General features: G+C 42.9%; 1 protein-coding gene across 3 annotated transcripts in view, besides 1 other annotated feature; it reads left to right on the plus strand.

The window, feature by feature from the left end:
- FNDC1 (fibronectin type III domain containing 1) overlaps positions 1–26,710 on the plus strand; it is a 102,709-nt gene extending 75,999 nt beyond the window's left edge. For all 3 annotated transcript variants that reach the window (NM_032532.3, XM_011536190.3, XM_011536191.3), the window contains 9 exons: positions 1,503–1,571; positions 3,641–3,784; positions 5,904–6,134; positions 11,125–11,233; positions 15,792–15,871; positions 19,577–19,606; positions 20,686–20,847; positions 22,406–22,528; positions 25,929–26,710. In NM_032532.3, the coding sequence (NP_115921.2) occupies positions 1,503–1,571; positions 3,641–3,784; positions 5,904–6,134; positions 11,125–11,233; positions 15,792–15,871; positions 19,577–19,606; positions 20,686–20,847; positions 22,406–22,528; positions 25,929–26,044 (1,064 nt within the window). In that variant the 3' untranslated portion in view covers positions 26,045–26,710. The remainder of the gene's footprint in view (positions 1–1,502; positions 1,572–3,640; positions 3,785–5,903; positions 6,135–11,124; positions 11,234–15,791; positions 15,872–19,576; positions 19,607–20,685; positions 20,848–22,405; positions 22,529–25,928) is intronic.
- Positions 21,886–22,086: a silencer, noted in NCBI's record as "peak6281 fragment used in MPRA reporter construct". NCBI's record gives its function as "represses an SCP1 promoter by STARR-seq MPRAs in K562 erythroleukemia cells {active_cell/tissue: K562}" and the evidence as "EXISTENCE:reporter gene assay evidence [ECO:0000049][PMID:32103011]".
- Positions 26,711–27,709: the final 999 nt, after the last annotated feature.

Below are 27,709 nucleotides of genomic sequence, written 5' to 3' on the forward strand. Positions count from 1 at the left end.
GCCCCCTTTTGAGGGTGCATTAAGTTTAGAGAGTTCTATTTAATTGCTGTGGGCTTCAGGTCAAAGGGAGGAAAGGAATTCCTACAATTTTTTTTTTAGCTATAAAACCTTTTGCCTCAAGATTTTATCAGCTACAGTGAGATGTTCTCCTTTTTACAGCTACATCTGTATCTCCCAAGTAGAGAAATAGTATAATCAATTCCATCACATCTTTCCCAAAAGACTTCTGCTTAAACTACCCTGATAATGGAGGTGAAGATGCCTTTTATGCTTAAATCACTCACCTTTCTTAAATCACTCATATGTTACTTATGCTCATAATATCAGTTTAGTCATTATGGTAATTTTTTTTTTTTTTTTTTTTTTTTGAGACGGAGTCTCACTCTGTCACCCAGGCTGGAGTGCAGTGGCTTGATCTCGGCTCACTGCAAGCTCCACCTCCCGGGTTCACGCCATTCTCCTGCCTCAGCCTCCCGAGTAGCTGGGACTATAGGCGCCCACCACGACGCCCGGCTAATTTTTTTTTTGTATTTTTTTAGTAGAGACGGGGTTTCACCAGGTTAGCCAGGATGGTCTCGATCTCCTGACCTTGTGATCCGCCCGCCTCGGCCTCCCAAAGTGCTGGGATTACAGGCGTGAGCCACCGTGCCCGGCGTCATTATGGTAATTTTAATAGTTCTTCTAACCAGGGTTTCCTGGCTTTTCCAAAAATCACATCTGAAATTTTATATTACATTTAAAGTATAATTCTGTAGTCAAAATAGATCTATTGGTTAGTACAGCCCAATCTGTAAAGGGAAATTTGCAATGATTGGCATATGTTTCCAAATTTCCTATGCAAATTAAGAAATCTGATTTATCTCCTGAGTCAGTGAGAGTGGGTGGGAACTCAGTAGGAAGTGGAGAAGCACAAGGAACTCTCATTGGTAGAGTTTGCCAAGTTGGGATGTAGAAGAGGTAGGAAATTACCCTCTTCTAGAATATTCCAGAAGCAAGATGGAGGAGGTGGAGGAATGAAGACTGATGAACAGGGGAGTTCACATGTGAGGGGCTTTTTGTCACCATCCTGAGCACCAACCGCCCACTCTCTTCTGTCTCTCGTGACTGCTTCCTGAGAGCGCCTGCTGTGGCATGAGGGGCCAGGGGCCTTCCCTCAGCATCAGAGCCCTGCAGGCATGCGGGCGAGTGGGCTGAGGTGGTGGGAGGGAGGTGAGAGAGAGCTTGGTGGTGCTGAGGAGTCTGGGAACGTGGAGTGGGGTGTTTGCTCCTAATGGGGCAGGCATTTGTATCGCCCTTTCCTGGGCCCAAAGGAGAGAAAGTCTGGGTTCCATTTCAGTGCTTTGATGATTTTCCTCCTGAAAAAATTATGGAGACCCTGGCCTTGGGGACTTGTTTTCATGACCTGCTTGAGGTGAATGAATTGTCACGCTCTGGGGCCTGCTTCTGAGAGAACCCTGGAGAAGGAGCGCTGGATGACTGGTCCTTTTCTCTGTCCTCACTAGATGAGTTCTCAGGCTTGGAGACTGACACTGCAGTACCTACGGAAGAGGCCTACGTTATATATGATGAAGGTACAAACTGGCTTTTGAAAAATTATTTGCACACTTTCTTTCCTAATCAAAGGATCTGATTGTAACTATTGAGTGGATGATCTTGATGGAAGTTTCCTTTAGAGCTTTGGGCCGGTGGCAATGCCGAGGGCTGGCTTAGGGAAGGGTGGTTGTACCCCACGCTTCCTTGTCACTCCCAAATGCATATTTGATCTAAGAAAAACAGTGTGCTTAACACGTAGATGCAGCTTCCTATCTGGTCCCTGTGCTCCCCGTTCCCTCCCTCCCCACCCTCCTTGGACCCAAGGAATTCTGGAGTTATCCATCTGGGCTCCCCTTCAACCTTTATTTATAAAACTTACTTGTTTAACCAAGTCCAACTTCCTTACTTGGCTCTTCTCTTTCTTATTCCTTTCTTTTCTCTCCTTTTCTAATTACATAAAATATGTGATGCTTAGATCTGTTGATTTCTTATCATAGAATCTTTTCAAGGGTAGGTTTGTAAGATTAGGATCAGAGGCCGGCCGCAGTGGCTCAAGCCTGTAATCCTAACACTTTGAGAGGTCAAGGAGGGAGGATAACTTGAGCCCAGGAGTTCAAAAGCAGCCTGGACAACATAACAAGACCCTATCTCTACAAAAAATTAAAAAATTAGCCAGGTATGGGAGCACACACCTGTAGGTCCAGCTACTTGAGAGGCTGAGACAGGTGGATTGTTTTCAGCCCAGGAGTTCGAGCTATGATGGCACCACTGCACTCCAGCCTGGGTGAGAGAGCAACACCCCATTTCAAACAAAAAAAACACTTTTTTTTTAAGGTTAAGAATACAAAGTGCCTTGGACAGCATCTGGGAGAGTCATTCAATAAGTGGTAACTAGTGGTATTATTACACTTAGGACCTTGTGATTGTTTTGTGTGATTTGGAAGTTGCCTCTGCAGTTGAAGAAGTTCTTAAAGGAATCTTGTCCACACCCAGTGCCGGCCTTTGACACCAGGGCTCAGGATTCTCACTTTTGAGGTCCACCTTTTCTGCAATTATTCATAGCTCTAATTGTCTTAAATCACAACTGTGCAAACAATGTCACCTTTGATGTGTTATTTATTCATAATAAAGCTCGATGTAGTGGTTTAATCCCAAGGTTTTCAAACAAAAACTGACTTAAAAGAAAAACAGCAGATGTTAGAAAGCAAACGAAGATTTTTTTAGCACCTTTGAAAATACTAAGCATCTTTCTTATCTTTGAACAGTTTGAAAAAGGGGCAGTTTTATTTTCTTTTTCAAATGTTAAAGGATTAGTTGTCTTGGCAGGATTAATCCCACCCCCCATGCCCAGAAAAAGTTCATACATGGGAGAAAAAAGAATTTTTTTTTTTTTGAGATGGAGTCTCGCTCTGTCTCCAGGCTGGAGTGCGGTGGCGTGATCTTGGCTCACGGCAACCTCTGCCTCCTGGGTTCAAGTGATTCTTTTGCCTCAGCCTCCTGAGTAGCTGGGACTACAGGTGTGCGCCACCATGCCCAGCTAATTTTTGTATTTTTAGTGGAGACGGGCTTTCACCATGTTGGCCAGGATGGTCTTGATCTCCTGAACTTGTGATCCGCCTGCCTCGGCCTCCCAAAGTGCTGGGATTACAGGTGTGAGCCACCACACCTGGCCAAAAAAAAATTTTTAAGAAAAAACTTCAAGTTTATTTTTTGATGTTACCTTTTATTCTCTAAAAGGGAACATTATGCAGGTAGAGCATGGCTTTGGGCCAGTGCCATGAGCTACAAGGCTACAGTGGATGGATTCTAAGGTTCTCTCCAGCTCTGAGTCTAAAACCCCATTTTTCTGGTCATATGTGTTTCTTTTTGCCCTTTCTTTCTTCTGTCTGCAGCTTCTTTTCTGCAGGGACAGAAATGGGAAGAAATAGTATTTTAGTAGAAACAAATTACGTTTGGGCATAGCATTTATTTTAGGGTGTGTGTGTGTGTGTGTCTGTCTGTCTGTCTGGGTTTCAGCCTACAGTTGAATGTAAGAAGGTATCATTTGACTATAGACAGTGCTCCTTTTCTGGCAGTGCCCAATTACAGAGCCTTCATATCATTTCAGATTATGAATTTGAGACGTCAAGGCCACCAACCACCACTGAGCCTTCGACCACTGCTACCACACCGAGGGTGATCCCAGAGGAAGGCGCCATCAGTTCCTTTCCTGAAGAAGAATTTGATCTGGCTGGAAGGAAACGATTTGTTGGTAAATATAATGTCCTTAATCAGAGAAACATGGGTTTTTAACTTGTGGTCTTTGAAGAAAAACATTACTAATCTTTTGGCCTCGCCAAGGCAGTGCATTTTGAGAAGTTTTTCCAGAATGAAGTTTCCACTGGGGATAATTGAGTGAGTCAGTCTTATGTAGATATGTATTATTTTGCTTTCTGCCAAAATCAGAAGAGGGGAGGATTTGGTGTCCAACAGAGAGAGCTGAGAGAGACTGCCTTGCATAGACTAAGAGTAAGAAACACTTAAAAACCATCTGGACCAGGGAACATGAGTGTTTTTATTGTAGCCAGTTTTTCTACGACAAGACTTACCACTGGGCCTTGTGTGTGTACTGTCTGTTAAATTCTTCCTAAAAGGTTAGCCGCTTACTGAATTGAGCCACTAGTGCCTATAATGTCATGAAGGGGAAGCTTTTTTCTTTAGTTATTTCCTATCACTTTCATTAGCTTCAAGGATTTGGGATCTAGAAATTCATTTTACTCTTCTTTCTCAGTAATTAAAACAGTTTCAATAGGAAATTCTGTGAAACTAAACTGCATTAAGTCTTGCAAGTCTTCTTTTCCCATGCCCTTAATGAACCTCATTAATGAGACAGCTGGATTAATATATTACTAAGTGGAGACAAGCAACAGCTTAAACTAATATCACACTTTTCTGTTTCCAAAACAACTGTTCTGCCATGAGCAGAGAACAGCTCTTGCTAGCCAAGATGTAGTGACTGAGTGTCTAAACCACACGTACTTGAAGAACAAGAATATTAATTTGAGGTGGCGTTCCTGAGGCAGACACTAACACGGGTCTCTGGCATGCAGCTGCCAGGCTGCGTTTACCACATGCGCTGACTTCTCTCCCGGCAGTTCCATGACGGGAATTGAAATGCTTTCTGTGGTATTATTAGCTGTTCCACAGAACTCCTCTAAACGCTAAAGGCTTACTATTGTCTGGCTCTTTTCATAAGTCTACAACTCTCTAAAGCATAGGAGCCCACTCCCCAAACTTCCTGATAAGACCCATGGACAAGTTCTAAAGGCCTAGCTTCAGACTAATTTTTGGAAAACACTGCCTTAGCTGTGTCCCAGGGACTCTGTATCTTTGTTCTCATTAGTTACAAAGAACTTCTTGACTTCTGCCTTAGTTTCATTATTTGCCCAAAAGTCAAATAGAGAAACTAAAAACTGCATTCAGTCCAAATAGCCAATGAGAATGACAACCTAGCACCAAAAGATACAGTGGAATCTTCAGAAATTGCCAGACATTGTTACTGGACATCACTTGAGAGTTTTGCATATATAAAGCCCCAATCCCAAGTCCTTGGCATTTCTAATTTAGTGGGATATAATAGAAAGAGTTAAGGGCTGGGGGTGACAGCCTGCTATCTGATCCTTGCATAGTGGGTACTCTCAGCGTTGGCAGGCGAGATGGTAACATGAGGCCATCGGTTCATATCCTGCCTTACTCCCAGGACCATGTATCCCCTGAAATAAAGTATGTAGAAAAATCTTCAGCCATCTGTAAATGTGAGTAGCTATTGTTATACTGAGTAGTAATGTTGTAGACAGTAGTTCAGGCCGGGCCTTATGCACAGATGCTCCAGATTGTTGTGGTGGTTTATGAAGCTCTAGGGAAGGCCACCCAGGGTTGAAGCTAAAGGCTGCATATCTTGATCAGTATAGATTTTTTCCTGGTCCCAAGATAGTCAAGGAAATGAACTGTGTTGAGAGAATGCTAGTAAAGTGTTGGGTGGGCCTGACTCACCCTTTTCCAAATGTGGGGCACAGGAATGGCAGCGAGCTGCAGGCTTATATTACATTGAATTATAGTTTCATGATCTCTCAAAACCACTTTGCGGGCATAGTCATTGATGTCCATGGGGCAATAGGATCTTTTGGAATTACCAGATTGAAAGACACAAACACATGGATCCATCAAGGAGAGCTGGGGGTGTGTTTCTGAGCTTGGCATCAAGGCTGATGGAGCCTCCGTCCAGCAGGAAGAGACCGAATGGTGGGTCTGACTCTGTGGAACAGATGCTATGTTTCTGCCTCCAGAAAAAGCCTCCAGCAATCCAATTGGTTATCTCTGTTCTTTTCCAGCTCCTTACGTGACGTACCTAAATAAAGACCCATCAGCCCCGTGCTCTCTGACTGATGCACTGGATCACTTCCAAGTGGACAGCCTGGATGAAATCATCCCCAATGACCTGAAGAAGAGTGACCTGCCTCCCCAGCATGCTCCCCGCAACATCACCGTGGTGGCCGTGGAAGGTTGCCACTCATTTGTCATTGTGGACTGGGACAAAGCCACCCCAGGAGATGTGGTCACAGGTGTGTCCTAAGCAGAAATCAGAGTTCCCATGATCTGTAGGTGGGAAATGTGGACAATAAAGAATGGTGGATGAGTGGATGGGTGCATGCATGGATGAGTGGGTTGGATGGGTTGGATGGATGAATGGGATGATGGATAGATGTCTTCCTTCAACTGGATGAAATATAGGCAACAATGGAAGCCTCATGGGGTAGGGTAAGGACTACTGGATGGAAGTCAGAAGTCCTAAATCCGCGTCCCAGATTGATTTGCATGATCTTGAGCTCAGTACTTCATCTTTCTGGGCCTTGATTTCCCCATATGCAAAACATCACTACATCTCTAACATCCTATAATCTTGCAAATGGCCAGGGGGTCCAGCTAGCTCCTTGCAGGATCAGATCCTGCAGTGAGCGTGACCATAAGCTCCCGCTGGGCCACACATTTGTCCCTTTTTGGAGTCAGCCCTGGGCTTGTGCCTCTGCCTCTTTCTCTCCTTTCACGTCTGTTGGGTGCTTCCAGACAAATCTGGGTGCTTCTCAGTTCCTTATGTGGGAATAGGAGGTGATGAAAAAATGCCCAAGGATCTTGAGCCTCCTTGGCCTCTGAGATGTTTAAGTTCACTCTGCCAAGGACATATTTGAAGATACATCTTGAAATTTAAGTTCTTATGGAAAGAGAATTGATATTTTCTGTGAATAATTGCAAATTTTTTTTCTGGGCCTCTGAGCTGTGTAAGAGGAAGAAGTATGGCTGTGGCTGTGTGTGTCTCTGACTGGGAGGTAGCGGTCGCATTAGAGGTCAGAGTTTGACATTCTCTGCCATTATTGTGCTAGTGCAGTTCGCACAATTCAAAATTTCTAGTGCTTGTCTTGGTGTTCCCACTATTATATCTTACAATGAAAAAATGTGTCCAAGAATATCCAAAGAGCATCTTCTCTTGTGGAATTTGTACAGCAGCGCAAAAGCTAGAATAAGGGACACAGAAAAGAAGGCTTCTGGGTATTCTGCCAGGTGAGACTGAAGGGCGTGGGATGCAGGGAGGGTTTGGGATTAAGGGGTTCGAGTCTTTAGTGGAACTAAAAGTGCAGTCCTGGGTAGGTGCTACACGGACCGCCGTGAAGTCTGTGGTGTTCCAAATAGAATGCAAATCAATCAATGGAAGGAGGCAAGCTTGTAATCAAACATCCAGAAAATCTTTTTATTAATTGAACACACTTCTGTGAATGGTAATTTTTAAAAGCAAGCAAGAAAGCATACAGAAAAATAATTTAAAACCTTACTTTAAGCTGTTTAGCTTTTGACCTCTTGCATAACAGATATTACTTAACATAAATATATCACTGCGCCCTGATTCAAGGGGCTTCTAAGAAACATTGGCTGCAGAATGAGAGTGTATTGGCCCCACCAAACACGCCTCAAGGGTTCTTGCAGTGAAGAAGGAGCTTTCAGAGAACTCCCAACAAATGTCTCTGAGACTTAATTTAGATGTGATTTCTGTATTGTCCTGTAGAGGTCGGGCTTCTGAAACACCCATGCCTAGGCATTCCAAGCCATTCAAAGCTCCCTAGAGCCTTCATGTCCTCACATGCCCCACCCTGCACCTCATCTGAAACGAAACCTCAGAGCCCTAATCATGAGTACTCACGACACTAGCATAAATAATATGGATGAGGTGTTTATAAGGCACTCCCAATACAGAGCCGTGCCAACTCCTGTCAAGCTGATTACTGTGGAACACTGCAGCACATGACACCCTGTGGTGTGGGGGAAAACACCAGACTCCGCAAGGCTCAGAGAGAGAATAGCGGCAGCTCGTCATCCATTAGTGAACCAAACACCGGCTCTTTCATCTGCAGAACAACGAAGCCAAGTGAATACATCCTAAACTTAAATGAAGCATCACATTATCGGGCCCCCTGCAGGGCATTTGAATCCTGCTGGCTACATGGATGTTGTGTGCTCTGCTCATTTTCACCTGCCATTCTTTCTTTCACAAGCAGTCAAGTCAATGTGTAATGAAGTGGTGCCCGAACAGTGTGAAACTCCTAGAATTCCTGCCTGCAAACTGTTGCTTTCCCAAATCACTCCTAATGAATGAAGTTATTACTTTATTAGGAGTGATTCTGTAGGAAATCACCAACGTGATGACCTCTTAGTTTTTCAGGACCAGCTCATCAGTCACTTTCAGGACTGGTTTTGATGAGAACAACAGAGAGATCAGGAGTTATGATGTGCCCAGCAAGCACCTTATCAAAACCCAGACACAGGATCAGCCGAGAAACCAGTGCCTTACATGGGAAACGCAGGGTTCTGATGGAAGCCAGAGGTCCAAGAGTCTAAGCTTTGCCAACTCCATTGGAAGCTGGGTTTCCGTGGCACACGTGTGACCTCCGTCCCCTCTGGGGTGGGCCATTGTGTGCAGCACCAGTGGAAGCATATGCAGGGCTTGACTGCACTGTGCCAGACGGGAAATGCCGTGAGGAGGGCAGCAACTCTTCCCAAGTTCAATGACTCTCCTCTAGGGAACAGTGTGGGGAGGGCTCCAGGGTCCAGTTCACCTGGCTTCCAGGCCCAGCTTGCCCATTTGTTAGTTGTGTGACACTAATCAGTGATCATAGGGTGCTAAATAAAATCACGTGCACCTCTTAGGTGCATTCGATGTTATTGATCTTTTCCTTCTTCTTAACTTGTGTGATCTCTCTCAACCTCTTCATCTCCTTGCAGGCTTGTACAACATTCAGTGGTGGAATTTCTCAAGGCTTGGTCCTGGGGCCTCTTTTCCTCTTGCTCTGTCTTCTCTCCCCTCAGAGTCTCAACCATGCACATGGTTTTAATTCATCTCAGAAATGAGTCATTGATTTATATCTCAAGGCCAGGCCATCCTCTCCTCTGAGCCCCAAATAGTAAAATCAGATGCAAATCGTAAAATCACTTGATGTCATCACTGGGATGTCTCCAGAGCATCTCAGACTTGGTGTATAAAAAATCAGACTCATCCTGGCTAACATGGTGAAACTCTGTCTCTACTAAACATACAAAAAAATTAGCTGGGCGTGGTGGTGGGTGCCTGTAGTCCCAGCTACTCGGGAGGCTGAGGCAGGAGAATGGTGTGAACCCGGGAGGTGGAGCTTGCAATGAGCCGAGATAGTGCCACTGCACTCCAGCCTGGGCAACAGAGCAAGACTTCGTCTCAAAAAAAAAAAAAAAAAAAAAAATCAGACTCATGATCCTTCCCATCCTTCCCATTCCCAAATCTGGCCCTTGTCTGTGTTTCCCATTTCAGAGAACTGTCCCACTTTCCACACATTTGCTCAAGCCTGAAGCCTTAGAAGCATCTTCAAGTCTCCTTCTATCTCACTTCTATATTCAACTCATCATTAAATCTGGTCAATGTTGCTGTCTGGATTCCTCTTGAACCCATCTATTTCTCTCCATTAGATGCTGTGCTCATCTAAGCTATTGCCATCTCTCACCTGGTTACTGTAAGAGCTGTATAACTAGACTGTCCCATCCACATCTCCACTCCCACACCCAATCCATTCGGCATTCTGCACAGGAGAGATGTGTTGAATATGCAGACCTAATTGTATAGGTTTAATGTCTTAACTGTCTTTCCCTTTCTTTTAGGATGAAAAGCAAAAGCCTAGCTTGGCCCAAGGGTGCTGCCTAGTTTTCCCATCTGTGCTGCTTCAACTTCAGCTCATGCCACCCATTCCTGCCACTTATGGTTTCCAGCCACACTGCCTTCTCCCGGGTCCTCCCTCTTCAGTGTCTTGCCCAGGATTCCCACTACCTGGAATCCATCCCACCTCCTACCACACAGCTTATCTGCTTCTTATCCTTCAGATGTCAACTCCTTTTCTGTGACCCCAGAGAAGCTCTTTGTGTCCTCCATGGTGGGCCAGCTCCCGCTACACACCCTCTCACAGCATCGTGGACTGGTCCTGCAGAGCACTCAACTCAGCTGTGTCATTCTGTTTCCCAGTGCACCCTGCGGCTTCATGAGCTTCTGGTCACTACTTTATCTCCAGCACTTAGTATAATGTCTGGCAAATAGTAGTTGCACAACAAATATTTGTTTAATGAATCAATACTTGTGAACTTAGACAAGATATTTAACCTATTGCTAATACTCAGTTTCCTCATGTGTCAAAATGAGGAAGGCAATACCTACATACTAGGATCATGAGGATTAATCAAAGTCAAATTCAATTGAGAGTACCTAGCTGGCATAATGTTTGGCTCAAAGGAAGTGCTTGACAAATGTTTTCTCCTTCTGTGTACACATAAAAGACCTAGGATATGGGATGCGCTGAGCTGTGGGATGAACTTTACTTTGCCTCCTGGGACAGTTGTAAAGGCTGGGCAGGTGTCAGGGCCAAGGGTTCACCCGCTGAGGTCTGTTATTAGCAAATAAGAGAGAGCAGGTTGGACAATAGAAAGAAGAGCTGCCTCACTGCTGTGATTAGACAGTGAGGGCAAGGGCAGCACAGATACTCAGCAATGAGAAATCGCAGGACAGCCTTCACCAAGTGGGCATGGGACCCCTGGGCGTGTGGGGTCTCTCAGCCCCGCACACATGCACAGCATCCACCAACAACATTCTTCGTTTCCTGTGCAGGGCAATGGTGTACTATCTTACCCGGAAGTTCTTAAATACATGTGTGGAGGGCACTGCTTTTTTCTTCTACTTTTGTTTTTCTCTGTGTGATCAAGATGAGACGTGATTAGTTCTGAGGCGATGGGGAAGGCTGGGGAATGAGCAAGAGAAGTAGGGGGCCAGCAGGCATCAGGAAGTGTCTTAGTTTTGTCATCCCCATCTGGATTCAGCAGAAGGTACCAGTGTTACATCCCATCCTGTCCCACAGTGCCGCGTGCCCTCCTTCCTGTAGTTCCCACATGGAGCTGCATCTGCAGCTTTGCCTCACACCTGTCCTCAGTGGGTTACATCTTGTGTGTGACTTGGTTCCTTGGTGTCCATTGGGTTTTTCCTGTTTCCATTTTCAGGTTACTTGGTTTACAGTGCATCCTATGAAGACTTCATCAGGAACAAGTGGTCCACTCAAGCTTCATCAGTAACTCACTTGCCCATTGAGAACCTAAAGCCCAACACGAGGTACGATGTGTCAGTCATTTAGAAAAGATGAGATCCATGTGCATGGTTGCTGATTTGCTTTGGTTGGAAATGAAGGGAGGAATCAAAATGTTTTTGTGATTTCTTTGAATACCCTGTTTGGTTCTAATAGAATGTCAATGCATGCTTACCATATGTCATATAAGTTTCTTAGAAGAGATGACTGTATGTATTGTCATTGTTAGGCTACTGTGCTTATATTTTCCTCCCTGTTTACCTAAACACTACCTGCCATTAGGGAAAGAAAAGTTGTTATCTGTGTTGAAAGAATCGGTCCATTTTTAGTCCCAATATCGTGGCACTAGGCATCATGACCTTCATATGTGAAAATGGAGCTGCAATCACTAAACACTTAAATGAACTCGTTCCCAAACTCTGTGACATAGAAGTTCACATCATTCAAGAAAGATGCATTTTACACATTTGTAGAGGTTATAAGCATGTCTTCGTAGACTAGGCGTGGCTGGCCAGAGAATCATTTTGGAAGCCAGAGTTTATTGCCCTTGGCATGAAATAGGCAAAACTGGTTCCCAGGAGCACAAAGACAGTGACTGTTCATTCCCCTTGTATGCCATCTGGTTTTGGTGGTAATGACCCTCGGAAAGCTCCTGGGTGGGTGAGCATGGGAAAGCACCAAGCACTTGAGGGTCAAGAGTGGTGTGCTGGTAAACTGGCTCTCTGGGAAAAAACTTCCTTGGTTGATAGCATTTGCCAATTTCTATGGTGTAAATACTACCATTTTGGCCAATTTTAAGCCACCATGGGCTTGCAGACTTCCTGAATACTTAATGACTGGCTCTCACAAGCTGGTACAAATGGGTCCAGCAGACTGCTGTTGTGGGGAGCCACCATATTTGCCTAGCAAAGAGCTCGAAGTGAGGTGAGGGTGCACCCAAGGCCTCTCATTTTCTACACAGGCCGAGGAACATGGAGGAGGTTGGAACAAAATGGCCCTCATTAGACAGGCATGTGGTAAAGGGTGTAGAATCTGGACACTAGCTGTGGGCACCGAAAGGCTACTGAATGAGCTGTGAATTTTCCTCAAGACATTTTAATGTGCCATTTGGGCCCGCTTGAGCTGAGCTTTCATAAATTGTTATGAATTTTGGGATTTGGCAAATTAAAAGCAAGTAGTAAACCAGGAAACTGAGAAAGCACTTTTTTAAAACTTTTTCCCTAATAGTAATGGCAAGTTATTTTTTTAATCAATTAGAGAAAACAAAACCAACAAAATTAGAGAAAATGGAGTCAATGTCTTTTTTTTTTTTTTTTTTGGCGAGTGCAGAGTGACAATGCTTTTGCAGCACAGCCCTAGTATCAAAAAGCCAAGAGGCCTTCCAGAGGCCTTGCCACAGAGCTACTTACAACAGAATCTGAATCACAGCCTCCTGACTCGCCGAGTCCAGCGTTCTTTCCACAACTTCTGCTGCCAGACTGATGTTGAGTTTTGAGTCATGTCAGGAGGGTTATGTAGGGCGATGGTTTACTTGTTATTTCAACAGGTATTAGAGAATGTGCATGGCTCATTCAGTCAGTCCTTACTACACACTTCCTGAGCGCAAGGTGGAACATCTGGGCTGGGCTGGGGAAAATACACATGGCCCTGCCCTCAAGGAGCTTACAGTCTGGTAGAAGAGGCAGATTTTTTAAAAAACAACATAAATATAAACCTCCCCTGGTGGGTGTACATCTCCAAGTACATCATGCTTTGAGAGTATATAATGGGGGATTTTTTTTCTTTATGAGCTTGGGGATAGAGAGGGGAGTCATATGAGGTTCTCTGGGAAAGTAAAATCTGAACCATAAGAATCAGTCATCCTGCAGAGAAGGCTGTGCTCCCAGCAGAGAGGATGTCTCAAAGAAGTGTGTGTCCTAGGAAATAAAGGAGGCCGATTGGGAGGAAGGGTGAGGAGAGGCGGGACAGACAGTGCCAGGGGCTCTTGGGTTGGCCCCACACACGCTCAGTGCCTTGAGGCAGAGGAGGAGCAGCAGCTGCTAATCTTCCTCTCCTGAGGTGCCCACCTGCTTATGTGCTCTTCTGGTAGAGACGCTGGCAGCTCCTCCTGCATTTCCTCAAAACCCTTCTGAGCAGCTGCTAAATTTTAGAGCTAAGAAAGTACAAGTGTGATGTAAGGACACTCATTTTCCCCTGTGTCACTAGAATGCAGATCATATCTGGGGAATTCACTTTCGTCATCTCAGTCTTCATGGGGGCTCTCTTGAGAAGCCAGCTTCTGAGTCAATACAGGGGAGACCAGAAGTCAGTCTACCCAAAAGAGGGGCCAGGGCATAAAAGTGAGCTTTGGTTATTTACAATTGGATCTTGCTTTTGACTTTAAGTGAGCATTGTCTACCTTAGTCACCAGACAGAGTCCCAAAGAACTCTTCGGAGTCTGCATATTTTAAATCCATACTTAAAACACACAGACTTGTCATGATTGAGGCTGTTCAAAAGAAGGTGCCAGAAACTTATATAAGAAGGCGAGGCATGGATTGCTTTTGTTACTTGGCTGAGGCAGAGACTATTCAGAGTATGAAATGTATACTTTAGCCCATCAAAAAAGTTTCATGTAGGTTTTAAAAATGGAATTTTACTTTTTGCTTAATTTCATATTGTTTTTCAGCTCAGCATATTTAAATTTACTTTGATAGCTTAGGTGAGGTTTTAATGGGAATATGTCTTTGGAATGGTCACATGTGAGTTTCTGGAGGCCTAGAATCATTGTGTCAACAGGGAAGGTGGATTTGGAGAATATTTAGGCTTTAGTGTCAAAACAAAATCGATACAAACAGATCCATCTGAATAGTGGTTCTCAGCCCGTCAGTCACCCTTCTGCCACCTCCTTGATGGCATAGAGGCACTTCCCTCCTTGACGTTGACTACTCAGCAGAAGTGTCCCATGGAGCCCCTGAGTATGCATCCTTCCTTATGTTTTAATTTCCTTTTCAAAAAAAGTATCTGTAAAGTTTGCCCAGGACTGGAAATGTATGCCAAACCCACTGCTCAAACTGCCTGCAGAGTTTTGCCTTAAATAACTCCACAACCACTGCATAAAAGTACATGTAACTGGGAAAACATGAGCTGCTGAGTGAATTGAGATTTGGAAACTCATATGTTCTTAATTGTGCATATCTTTTTATTTAAATTACAATAAAAAGAATACTCCTAAATAAGATGCAAATGGCTTAGGAAGACTAATTTTACCCAATGGCTTTTCTTTGCTTTCTGTTTAATCAAACTCAAAGTAAAGTATCTCTGTTCTGAGGCCAGAGACTGCCTTGGTGATCCAGCAGCTCAGAAGGCTTGAGGCCAAGGCTGTTGGTGCAATAGGCCTAATAACCCTTTGCTCTCTGAATAGGAATAATTCGCTTTTTAAAAATGTAGTGCATTTTAATTAGTACATGGAATTTGTGTGCCTGACTTAATCAAATAAAGAATTTTATAACATTTAAGTGTGACATTCTTACTGGCCAAAAGCCAGATAAGAGGTCCCTTATGAGCTCTCTAAAATGACAGAGCCACCAGGGATTCTTTACCTCTCTCTTCATCTGTAAGTAGCTAAGCACTAAAAAAGCACATAAAATATCTAGAATCAAGAGGTGAGGAAAGCACAAAGATTAAGATATAGTGGAACACAAATGTGGTGTTGGTCTTTATTACTTCTCTAACCACCATTCTTTTTCTTTTGCTTGTAAGAATGCAAATAACATGCTTCGAGACTCAGTCTCTCTCCAGATGAGCTAGTTGACTCAGGCATCATGCTTTCCAGCACATTCTCTGTTCCAAGACAAAATTTAGCCCTACAGAAAAGCCTCTCTCTCCGGATCTTTCCCCCTTCCCCTTCTTGGACTTGTTTCTCTTTCCTTGAGGCGCAGAAGCTCGTAACTCAGTGACTTTTAAGGTGGTCCCTTCCCAGCTCCAGAGCCAACCACAGTGTTTCTCAATGCACCCAATATACCATTGTCATGTTAGCTTCACTGAAAAGGCAGCCTCCAGCCAGGTTCATCCTCTCCCTGTCAACCATAAGTTGCGTGGCTGCTGGAGCAAACGTCCTGCTCTTTTGCATGGACTCCAGGGATATAATTAGGTTATAATTTGAATTCTGCTTTGTAGTGTTTTGCTCCACCACCCTCTCTCTCTTGGGCTGTGGGACTGAAGCGGAGTCCAGAGTCTTAAACCTGAGCAAGAGCAGGGCTAGAGGAACGTCTCACCAGGGATGAGCTCAGGCGAGTCTGCGCAGAGCAGGGACAGTCCTGATGCAAAGGAACGCGTGCTCAGCAAGCAACCTGTGTTCTAATATGTCCCTTCTACTGCCATTAGCCATGTGTCCCTGCTATGTTAATTGTATTATTTAGAGAATTTATTCAAAACTGAGAAAGTTCAGAAAAAGACATGAAGAATCACTAGTGCTGTATGCATTTGTAAAAAGTAGAACTCAAAGCCTGTCACGGTTCAGGTGTTCAGTAGTTTGGGAGTCTGTTTTGTTACACAGAAATCAAATACATGTCTCTTTCAAAATATATCTTCTTCCAACTTCAGGTATTATTTTAAAGTGCAAGCACAAAATCCTCATGGCTACGGACCTATCAGCCCTTCGGTCTCATTTGTCACCGAATCAGGTATGAATGACTTCACATTCTGATTTGTTTTACTTTTCGAGAAAATGAAATAAATAATCTAGCATGATGGCTACAATAGAATAAATCCTTACTTTTCTATTTAATGAGCTCATGTTGGATATCAGTTTCTAAAGTAAACATCATTTGCTTTGTGCTAGGTTAAAACTTGGATAATAAAATTAAAAGTAGTTTTCACGGGCTCTCTGAAGAACAGAAAGGTCAAATTCCAATGAAAGGAAAAAATCTAGATTTCAACAACATGAGAAAGATAAAGTTGACTCTATCTGTACAAAATTTAGTTGCAGAGTTTTAAAAAAATTATTGCAAGCACCTGAAGAACACACATGTCATGTGGCTGACAGGAAGTTGCCTTTCCAATGAGCCAAGACATTGGATTCCCCCTTTAGTAGAAGGCAGATATATCTTTAATTAATATTGAGAGGTTAATTACAGTATCATTCAGTCTTATAAGCAGTATCATTCAGAGCATGCCCTTGCATTTTGGGGTGCTGGTGGGCAGAGCTCTCAGTCCCTTCAAGAAAATGTTCCTGGTCAGGGGTGGTGGCTCATGCCTGTAATCCCAACACTTTGGGAAGCCAAGGTGGGATGATCTCTTGAGACCAGGAGTTCAAGACCAGCTTGAGCAACACAGGGAGGTCCTGTTTCTACAAAAAAAAAATTTTTTTTAATTAGCCAGGCCTAGTGGTGCATGTCTGTAGTCCCAGCTACTCAGGAGGCTGAAAAGGGAGGATGGTTTGAGCCCAGAAGGTTGAGCTGTAGTGAGCCATGATCATGCCACTGCCCTCCAGCTTGGGTAACAGAGTGAGACCTTGTCTCTGAAAACATAGTTCCTATGACCTATGGTCTAATGTAGCACATGCAGAGCCAGCTACTGTGACAGTTCTTGGCCTAGAGACTTTTCCATGTAGGAAGCCAGGCTGAGTTCAGAGCAACCCAGCTGAGCCAGCCCTGCACCCAGCTTCCATTTGGCTAGGTTACCTTCTACATGCAGTCTGAGCCCAGAAAATGGGTCATTGGAAGATATTTTTAAGTGTAATGATTTAAAAATCTACTCAGTCAAAATAAATGAAAACATAAAATCTTTTGTAAGAATATGCTTTATACCAGAAATGTAGGCAAAGGACCTCAAACATGTTTTCATCTGTTTGTTTAAGAAATATGTTTCTGTTAGTAATTAGGAAACAGCAAGAGAAAACTATTATCTGTGGTTAATTTGCTTAAGTAAGGGATGTGTCTGTGATTATGACTGCATTTCTAAAAACAAAGTGGACCTTGGCAACTATCAGAATCAATGTGAAAAAAATATTTAAAAAAATTCAAATCCAAAAAGCTATCAAGAAACTCTGATCTGAAATCTTTCTGAGAGTAAAAGTGATATACACGTAACTTCTGGAGCTGCAATCTAAAGTTTTGATAAAACAGCTGTCTTCTACCTTCTCCTCCAAGAAAAACTCCTAACTCATTCTTTATGGCCTCCAAGGGATGGGTGAGGAAAATTCAAGGCCCCACCCTACCCTCTGAATAAGAATCTCTCCAGGAAACACTTTCAATGAGCTCCCAGAGGAGCCTCACACACATGAAAATTGGACAATTAACTTGCTCTGGTCATCTTCCTTTATTCCATCAGTTTATTCAAGTTTCTCCTTCATTTTGTGATAACCTGCTGAAAATGGCTAGGCGAGCAACAGGCAAATGATAAAGTCAGTGAATTATGGCATTTGCCAAACATAACAATTGGAAAATTAATATAGAAAGTCAACGTAGTGTGTGACACAGGCTGTGCCATGAGTTCAGGGTTTTGTCGTCTGTGCTGGTGTCATTTTGTTTGTTTCACTCCACCTGCCCTGGGGTATTTGGGACTTTTTTGGCAGACTGCTGAACTTCAGTTCAGAGCAGGGGAGCAAAGCAAGCATTTGACACTTATGGCCATGGTGTTTCCCTCTATTTTGTGGATAGCAGAGGACATCAGAACAAATGGTCTGTACAAAGCACAGCCTAGGGAGATTTGGGGGTGATGGAAACATTTTGCAGGTTGATTTTGGCAGGATTCCATGAACTGATGCAGGCGTGAACATTCATAGGATACATATCCTAAAACAGCAATTTACTGTATGATATTTTTTTCAAAAATAAAAAAAGAATGGTCCAGATTTACCTAGTTCGTGGCATTTTATAAAAATGAACTTTTTTGGCTGGCCACGGTGGCTCACTCCTGTAATCCCAGCACTTTGGGAGGCCGAGTCAGGCGGATCACGAGGTCATGAGATCGAGACCATCCTGGCTAACACAGTGAAATCCTGTCTGTACTAAAAATACAAAAAATTAGCCAGGTGTGGTGGCGGGCGCCTGTAGTCCCAGCTACTCGGGAGACTGAGGCAGGAGAATGGCGTGAAGCTGGGAGACGGAGCTTGCAGTGAGCCAAGATTGTGCCACTGCACTCCAGCCTGGGTGACAGAGCGAGACTCCATCTAAAAATAAAATAAGATAAAATAAAAATAAAATAAAAAATAAAAAATTAGCCAGGCATGATGGCGCATGCCTGTAATCTCAGCTACTCAGGAGGCTGAGGCAGGAGAATCACTTGAACCTAGGAGGTGGAGGTTGCAGTGAGCCGAGATTGTGCCATTGCACTCCAGCCTGGGCAACAAGAGCAAAACTCCGTCTCAAACAAACAAACAAACAAAAAAAGAACTTTTTCTAAAGCAGAATTCCTTGAAAAGCTAGTGTCATATTCTCTTAAGTGGTGTTACTTGGGCTAAGATAGAGACAGGTTTTACATTTGTTGAGGTATAAATGGCATACAGTAACCTGCACCTACTTGAAGTGTACATCTTAATGTATTTTGAGTTGTGCTTATACCCATGAAGCCATTGTCACTGTCAAGATAGTGAGCATATCCATCTGCTGGACAGTTTCCTCCTGCTACTGTGCAATGCAGCTTTCCCAGGGTCCTTGTCTCTCTAGTTTATAGGCAAACATTCATCTGCTTCCTGTCACTATAGATTAGTTTGCACTTTCTAGATTTGGGTATCAGTAGACTCATACAGTATGAACTCCTTTGACTGGCTTCTCTCACCTAGCATAATCATTTTGAGATTCATCCAAAACATTGTGTGTATCAGTAGTTCACTCTGTTTTACTAGTGAGCAGTATTTCCTTGTATGGCTGTGCTACAGTTTGTTTACCTAGTCAGATCACCTGTTGATAAACACTTGTGTTGTTTCAACTTTTTGACTATTACAAACAAAGATGCTATAAACATTTATGTGGAAGTGTTTGGATGGACATATGTTTCCATTTCTCTTGGATAAATGACTGAGTGGAATGGATGGATTTTGTAGTAGGTGTACGCTCACCTTTTTAAGAAACCACCACACTATTTTCTAAAGGTAGACAATTTTTTTAAATGAGTACTGAATTATTTTGTAATACATAATACCAAAACCTTACTATTTTCAGGGATCCACAGCTTCTAGGTAAATAGCAACACACTCTAACTAGAAAACAGTATTTCTCAAAAGGAAATGTTTAGAAAATAAAACCAAGGAAAACGTTGGCATCTATCAAACCTTATCTTTTTCTTTATTCTAATTTGGTTAGCTATTTCAGTTACACTAACCATTTAAAGAATTGCATGATTGTGAAATATGGCACAGAGTCCATTATTTCTTTTTCATTCTACAGATAATCCTCTGCTTGTTGTGAGGCCCCCAGGTAAGTTTATGTTCTTGATAATCTGGACATTCTGGTAATCAAGTTGAATATTGAATATGAGATTGTTGTGATTACTCACAATTAGAAAGTCTGGACCATTTTCACAATTTTCTGTCAACTTCTATGCTTTCCTTGCACTCGTCATCCTGATCTTCTTTACTCTGTGGGAAAGAATGACCTGGGAATTTTAAAATAGAGCCATAGCAATCAACATCTATGAAAAAACACTATGGAGTAGCCAGTCCTATGAAACAGATACTTTATTTTCATGACCATTTGAATATTTTAAATCACTGAAAAGGTAGCAAAGTGCAACAAGTAAAACAGCAAGTTTTACGTTGTTTTTCAAGGAAATTGAGAAAACCTTGTTGCTTGACTGCAAATCAGGTCTTCTGAGTGGCAAGAAGTGGAGTCTATGCAGAGGGACCTGGGGACAGGATGGCATGCCCCAAAAGACCAAATCTGCCATTACAGCTTATTTTCCTTGCCGTTTAAAGACTTCTTAACTCTGAGAATCCCTTATTGAAATGTGTATACTTTAAATACGTTCAGGTAAATGGAACGGCCCAAATGTACTTTAGTACTAAAAAACACAAAGAAAGAGAAGGAGGGCGGGAAAACTTTGCTCAAAAAAGCCCTGCAAGGCCGGGCGCGGTGGCTCATTCCTGTAATCCTAGCACTTTGGGAGGCCAAGGTGGGCGGATTGCGAGGTCAGGAGTTTGAGACCAGCCTGACCAATGTGGTGAAACCCCGTCTCTACTAAAAATACAAAAATTAGCCGGGTGTGGTGGCGTGCACCTGTAATCCCAGCTATTCAGGAGGCTGCGGCAGGATAATCCCTTGAACCCGGGAGGTGGAGGTTGCAGTGAGCCGAGATCGTGCCACTGCACTCCAGCCTGGGTGACAGAGCGAGACTCCATCAAAAACAAACAAACAAACAACAACACAAACAAACAAACAAACAAAAAGCCCTGTAAGGAAAGGAAGGCCCAGGAAGTCAGTGCAATTTCCTGGCACTTTGTGTGAGAAGACACACTGTGGAGTGCTTACCCTTAGCAGGTGTGTTTTGTGTTGTCAAGGCGGTGAGCCTATCTGGATCCCATTCGCTTTCAAACATGATCCCAGCTACACGGACTGCCATGGACGGCAATATGTGAAGCGCACGTGGTATCGAAAGTTCGTGGGAGTTGTTCTTTGTAATTCACTGAGGTATAAAATCTACCTCAGTGACAACCTGAAAGGTAAGTCTTTGTGCATGGTTGGCTATGGGAGGTATGGAACATTTTGATTTATCAAGTACAAACTTGGCACCACAGGTGCATCGGAATGTTTATGAGGGCTGGAGCTACGACTATGGCTCACTCTGCCTCTAATACAAACCAATTTTACAGATTCTACTTTGAGGATACTAGTTTTTACACTGGCAACCCAAAAATATTTTAAAAGGTTTACTATGTTGGCCGGGCACAGTGGCTCACACCTGTAATCGCAGCACTTTGGGAGGCCGAGGTGGGTGGATTACTTGAGATCAGGAATTCAAGACCAGCTTGGCCAACATGGTGAAACCCATCTCTACTAAAAAGAAATAAAAAATGAACAAATGAAAAATTCACTATGTCTTAGGAATGACATAGTGACTGGCTATGTCATTCCAAAATTCTATTAGAAATCTAGGGTTTTTTTTTTTTTTTTTTGCCACTAATACAATAATAATGAGTACGAGCGTGAGCTGGAATAATTGAGGAAAAGTTTCCTCTCCAGCCCCTGACACAGCCACAACTTTACAGAGAAAAAATGTAAATGGTGGAACATATATCAGCAGTAATATTTGTTCTGTGTCCTAATAAAAATCACATTGTTTTTATCATGGTGGGAGATTAAAACAAAGAATAATTCGAGTGCTTTGAGCTGCTAACACTTCCTAATGCGATTTCTATTCAGCTGGCTTTTCACTGACCCACCGACACAGCAAATTTGTTTTTTATTTTTAAACTTGCACAACTCTAAATTTTTCAGTGTATACATTGTTAAAACTTTACCTCAGCTGGTCTACATTTTGTTGTTGGTCAAAAATATATTTTGGGCATTTTTTGTTGTTTTTCTTTTTCTTGTTAGTAGTGATCATTTAAAAACTATCAAAACAAAGTCCCTCCTTCGACCCCAACCCTAGCAATTTCTGTGTATATGCTTCTCCCAACAAGTACGGTCTGTCTCTCTCTCTCTCTCTGCTCTTTTCTTTCTCTTCCATCACTGTCCTTTTCCTCCCCTGCTTCAGAATTCCTAGGAGAGGCTGCATAACCATGTGTCATATCCCAGAATTGGGAGAAACAAGTTTGTCCTACTGTGCAGCCATGGCTCAGGACCATGGACAGCGTCTCATGCCACAGGCCCGCCCCCTCCTAGTTACACATGAAAATAGATTCTTCTATTTGTATAGACCTTCCTGCCTTTCATAGTAACTTCATGATGTATTCTCCAACTATCATAGTTTTCATCATTCCTTTTTTTTTTAGAACTAAGGAATAGAAAAGTCTACTCGAAACTGCCTATAGTGTTAATGCTGTAATTCCAACTTACTGGACATTCATTAAGTATTTAGCATACTTTGATCTTGCTGAATTCTTACAACCTTTATGAGATTGGTGCCATTATCACCATTTTCAGACATGAAAAATACAGCACACACAGTTTAAGTAATATGCTGAATTCAAACAGTCTCCAAAGCTTGTGCAAAAAAACTCCTAAACCAGTTGTGACTTTCTGTACCTAGTCATGGACTCAATCAATTCCTTCATGCAGATACATTCTACAGCATTGGAGACAGCTGGGGAAGAGGTGAAGACCATTGCCAATTTGTGGATTCACACCTTGATGGAAGAACAGGGCCTCAGTCCTATGTAGAAGCCCTCCCTACTATTCAAGGTAATACAAACAAATGCCTGATATATTATCCTAGGAGGTGGGAGACAAGGATTAATAGAGGGGGAAAATCCACAGTAGGTCTGCCTTTGCCTTGTCATTCGAAGATGGATGTTGGGAGCACTTAAGGTCATAAAAATAAATAAAATAAAGAATCAACAAAATACTTCTATTATGCATGGGTGAGGGGGTGAGTCTCAAGGAGGTGGGGAACGGCATGAACAAAGGTACAGAGAAGGCAAAGATAAACACACATGCAGACCCACCGTGATATGTTTCAGGAGGTAACGTATAAGCTATTTGATTGTGGCATTATAAGGTGAAGACAAAATACACTAATCTCAAAGGTTAACAATTAATGTTACTAACTCTCTCGGCCTCCAAATGAATAAACAGAACAACTGAGTACAGTCTAGCACCCTTTTGATTATGCACTCAGCTCTGAGTGATCAGGTATTTTCCAGACATGAGATGTTCTGATTTGCTAAATTTTTAGATTCGAAAAAATGCTGTAGGTAGCTACATGAATTACCCATTTTCAAAAAATAAAATACAGTAAAATACAGAAAAGAGTAAAATAAGCATATTAGTCAAGGTTCTCTCATCCAAAGAAACAATCAATAGGATCTCTCTCTCTATCTATCCACCCATCCATCTATCCGTCTCTCTCTCTCTATCATCTATCTATATCTATCTACTCAACTACCTATCTATCCATCTATGTATGTATGTATGTATCCATCCATCTCTCTATCCATCTATCTATCCATCCATCCATCTATCTATCCATTTATGCATCCATCTATCTATCTATCTATCATCCATCCATGTATCTATTATTAATCTATCTACACATCTACTTATGTATGTGTGTATCTATCTATTCATCTATCTATTCATCTATCTATCTATCTATCTATCTATCTATCTATCTATCTATCCATACTGTCTATCCTTATATTTATAACTATCTATCCATCCATCTGTTCATCTGCTTGTCTATCTCTGTATCCATCATCTATCTATCCATACTTCAATCTATCTATCCACCTATCCATGTATCTATTTATCCATCCATCCATCCATCCATCCATCCATCCATCCATCCACCCACCTCTAGGTATCTATCTATCTGTCTATCTATCTATCTATCTATCTATCTATCTATCTATCTATCCATTTGTTTATCTAGGTATCCATCCATCTGTCCATCCATCTATCTATCCATCTGTCTATGTATGTATGTATGTATGTATGTATCCATCCATTATCTACCTATTCATATCTATCTATCTATCTATCTATCTATCTATCTATCTATCTATCCATCTATCATCTATCTATCTATCTATCTATCTATCTATCTATCCATCCATCCATCTATCCTATCTATTTATCTAACTATCTATCTATCTATCTATCCATTTGTTTATCTAGGTATCCATCCATCTGCCCATCCATATATCTATCCATCTGTCTATGTATGTATGTATGTATGTATGTAGGTATCCATCCATTATCTACCTATTCACATCTATCTATCTATCTATCTATCTATCTATCTATCTATCTATCTATCCATCCATCCATGCATCCATCCATCCATCCATCCATCCATCCATCCATCCATCCATCCATCCATCCATCTATCCTATCTGTCTGTCTGTCTGTCTGTCTATCTATCTATCTATCTATCTATCTATCTATCTATCTATCTATCTATCTATCTTATTATTTTAAAGAACCGTCTCACACAATTGTGGAAACTGAAGTCCAAAATCTGCAGGGTAGGTTGTCAGGTTGGAGATCCAGGGAAGAGCTGATGTTGCAGTTCAAATCCAAAGGCCACTTGCAGGCAGAGTTACCTCTGGTTAGGGGAACCTCAGTCTTTTTCTATTCAGGCCTTTGAATGATTGGACAAGGCCCACCCACAATATGGAGGGTCACCTGCTCTAGTCAGTCTGGTGATTTAGATGTTAATCTTGGCCAGGCACTGTGGCTCACACCTGTAATCCCAGCACCTTGGGAGGCTGATGTGGGAGGATTGCTTGAGCCCAGGAGTTTGAGACCAGCCTAGGCAACATAGTGAGACCCCATCTCTACAAAAAGTAAAAAAATTATCCAGGTGTGGTGGTGCATGCCTGTAGTCCCAGCTACCCAGGAGGCTGAGATGGGAGGACTGCTTGAGCTGGTGAGGTCTAGGCTGCAGTGACCTAGAGGTGACCTAGTGATCTAGAGGTCTAGGCTGCCTTTTGGTTAAAGAGCCATTTGGTCTGTCCTGCAAGTCTGTCTTGGTTTTGTGGCCCCACTGCAAGAGGACAACAGACTGGGTAACATAGCAAGATCTTATCTCCAAAATAAAGAAAAGAAATACAATAATAAATGGTAATCTCATCTAAGAAATAGTTTACAAAAACATTTAATGTTGGATCAGATATATAGCCTAGTCCAGTTGACACATAAAATTAACTATTACAACAAATCTACAAACTATATCACCTTTCTTCATTTTTTTCTGGGTCTTACAGTCCCTCAGGGTTACTAGTGCCTGCATTATCCATATTCCATGGTGTCCCTGTGACTGTGGTCATGGGACTGGCCCTGAACAGAGCTGCTGGGTATTCAGCACACTCACTGGTGGAAGGGCAGGCAGCTATTTATTTGGCAAAAGTAAACAGGGCCAAGAGTGTGAGAGCAGTTATTGAGTTTCCAGAAAAATTTTTAGAAGGTTGGAGCATCCCTCCTACTTCAAGGGAGAAATGGTCAGAAATGCTACAGGTTTTTTTTGAGAGATTTCCTTGAAAGGTCTAAAAATCTACCCCAGAGTCCAGGAATTAAGCCTTGGAGGATAGAGGTAAGTTGGGGGCCCTGAGCTCTGTAAGAATGGGGCAGGAATCTGGCTCAATGTCATCCATCCAGGTCAGGGCCTGCCCAGTAGTGAGTGCTGACTAGCAACTGGCTAAAATTATCTTCTTCCATGGGGAGAGAGAGATCATGCCATCCTAGCTGTGTCACACATGTGTGGGGACTGGACGATCTCTACAGATCTGTTTGGGATAAAGAAATACTTTACACTTAGTCACTGGGTTCCTATGGAGGAGGCCTGAGCTGGTCCCCAGCTCCAGCATGGCCCCTGAGTTACAGCTGGGCTTTCCCAAAAGGCATAAGAGACAGGTGGGGAAGACCCCACCCCAGGCTGGGGTTGGGGCTGGGCCCGAGGTCCTGGCCCTTCCCCAGGGCTATGGCAACCACACACAAAAATGGTTCAGTTTATTTGAAAGTAGCGTTTTGTCACAAGAACAACTTATCAGAGGCCTTCTGTCTGAAGGAGGCTGTAAGGATGAGTTCTACCTGTTGGTTCAGGGGCCTCTGACGCTTTTCCCCTCTCCTGTTGCCCTTCCAGGCTACTATCGCCAGTATCGTCAGGAGCCTGTCAGGTTTGGGAACATCGGCTTCGGAACCCCCTACTACTATGTGGGCTGGTACGAGTGTGGGGTCTCCATCCCTGGAAAGTGGTAATCACAGGACCGTCATGCTGCAAGCTTGCCCTGCCCAGCCCCACCAACTAAGTCGCACTAGGGGCTGTGAGCAAAGACAGCCAGCGTGCTCAGCCCCGCTGCCCTAGGTGCCAGGAAGGTCATAGATGGACACTGGCCATTCTGGTCATCTCAGTCTGGAACTCAGTCCCACTTCTTGGCCTGGACAATGAACAGGATTCAGTTTTGCTGTTAACTTTGCTTCTCTACTTTTTTTTGTTTGTTTGTAATAGCACATCCCAGAGACATCAGAAACCAGCAACTGATTCAGTGTGATTTCCAGACTTTTTAGGCATGAAATTCGGACACTTCAGTATTTCCAGGAATAGCATATGCACGCTGTTCTTGCTTCATGGAATGCTACATGCTTTCTGTTTTTCTCATTTTGGATTTCTCCAAAACTAACTGAATTTAAGCTTCAGGTCCCTTTGTATGCAGTAGAAAGGAATTATTAAAAACACCACCAAAGAAAATAAATATATCCTACTTGAAATTTACTCTATGGACTTACCCACTGCTAGAATAAATGTATCAAATCTTATTTGTAAATTCTCAATTTTGATATATATATGTATATATGCATATACATATCCACACTTGTCTGCAAGAATATTGATTAAAATTGCTAAATTTGTACTTGTTCACCAGATAAATGTGTGTGGGAATTTTTGGGCAAAAGTATTGTGTATTAACATCTTTTAGAAGTATCCAGGGATACATACTATGCACACTCTAGCAACAGTGGAAGGTATGCATTCTTTTTGTGGGTGCTGCGGGGCTCTGAAATGATGAGGAGGATGAGATACCATCAGTATCAGTACTAGAACTGGCCACACCATTGACCACTGCACACCAAGTGCTTTCCACCTGAGGCGACGATCTTTCCACATCCACGGGGAAAATATATTTGTTGCCGCCATGGAGGCATATCCAGTATGTTCCAGATGGATAAAGATTTTAGATCCTAAATGATTTAAAAGTCTTGTTTTTAAGAATTCCCTTTGTCTTTCCTTCTTAGCTCAACATCTGCTCATTGAAATAGAAGCATCTTGCCTCTCTTGACTGTAGCACAAGAGGGTTTATTTAAAGATATTTCATTCTGATTATTATTATTACTATTATTTTTTGAGACGGAGTTTCACTCTTGTTGCCCAGGCTGGTGTGCAAAGGCATGATCTTGGCTCATCGCAACCTCCGCCTCCTGGGTTCAAGCGATTCTCCTGCCTCAGCTTCCAGAGTAGCTGGGATTACAGGCATGTACCACCACACCTGGCTAATTTTATATTTTTAGTAGAGATGGGGTTTCTCCATGTTGGTCAGGCCGGTCTTGAACTTCCGACCTCAGGCGATCTGCCCGCCTCAGCCTCCCAAAGTGCTGGGATTGCAGGTGTGAGCCACCGTGCCCAGCCCTCATTCTGATTATTTTTAAAACATGCTGTCCTTTCCATGAGCGTGGCTGGTCCCTGTCCCTAAGGTGGCACAGTGCCTTGAAGGGCTTATCTTCTTTCACAAAGCTGTCAGCAGAAGAGCAGCAATGGTGGAAATGGGCTGGAGGCAATTGCTTTTCTGGGACCTTTGGACTGCACCCCTATGCAACCCATTCAACTGCAGAATGCAGTTCCCGCTCCTGGAGTTGATTATTATCAGT

This window comes from Homo sapiens, chromosome 6, assembly GCF_000001405.40.
Source record: "Homo sapiens chromosome 6, GRCh38.p14 Primary Assembly".
Taxonomy (NCBI): domain Eukaryota; kingdom Metazoa; phylum Chordata; class Mammalia; order Primates; family Hominidae; genus Homo; species Homo sapiens.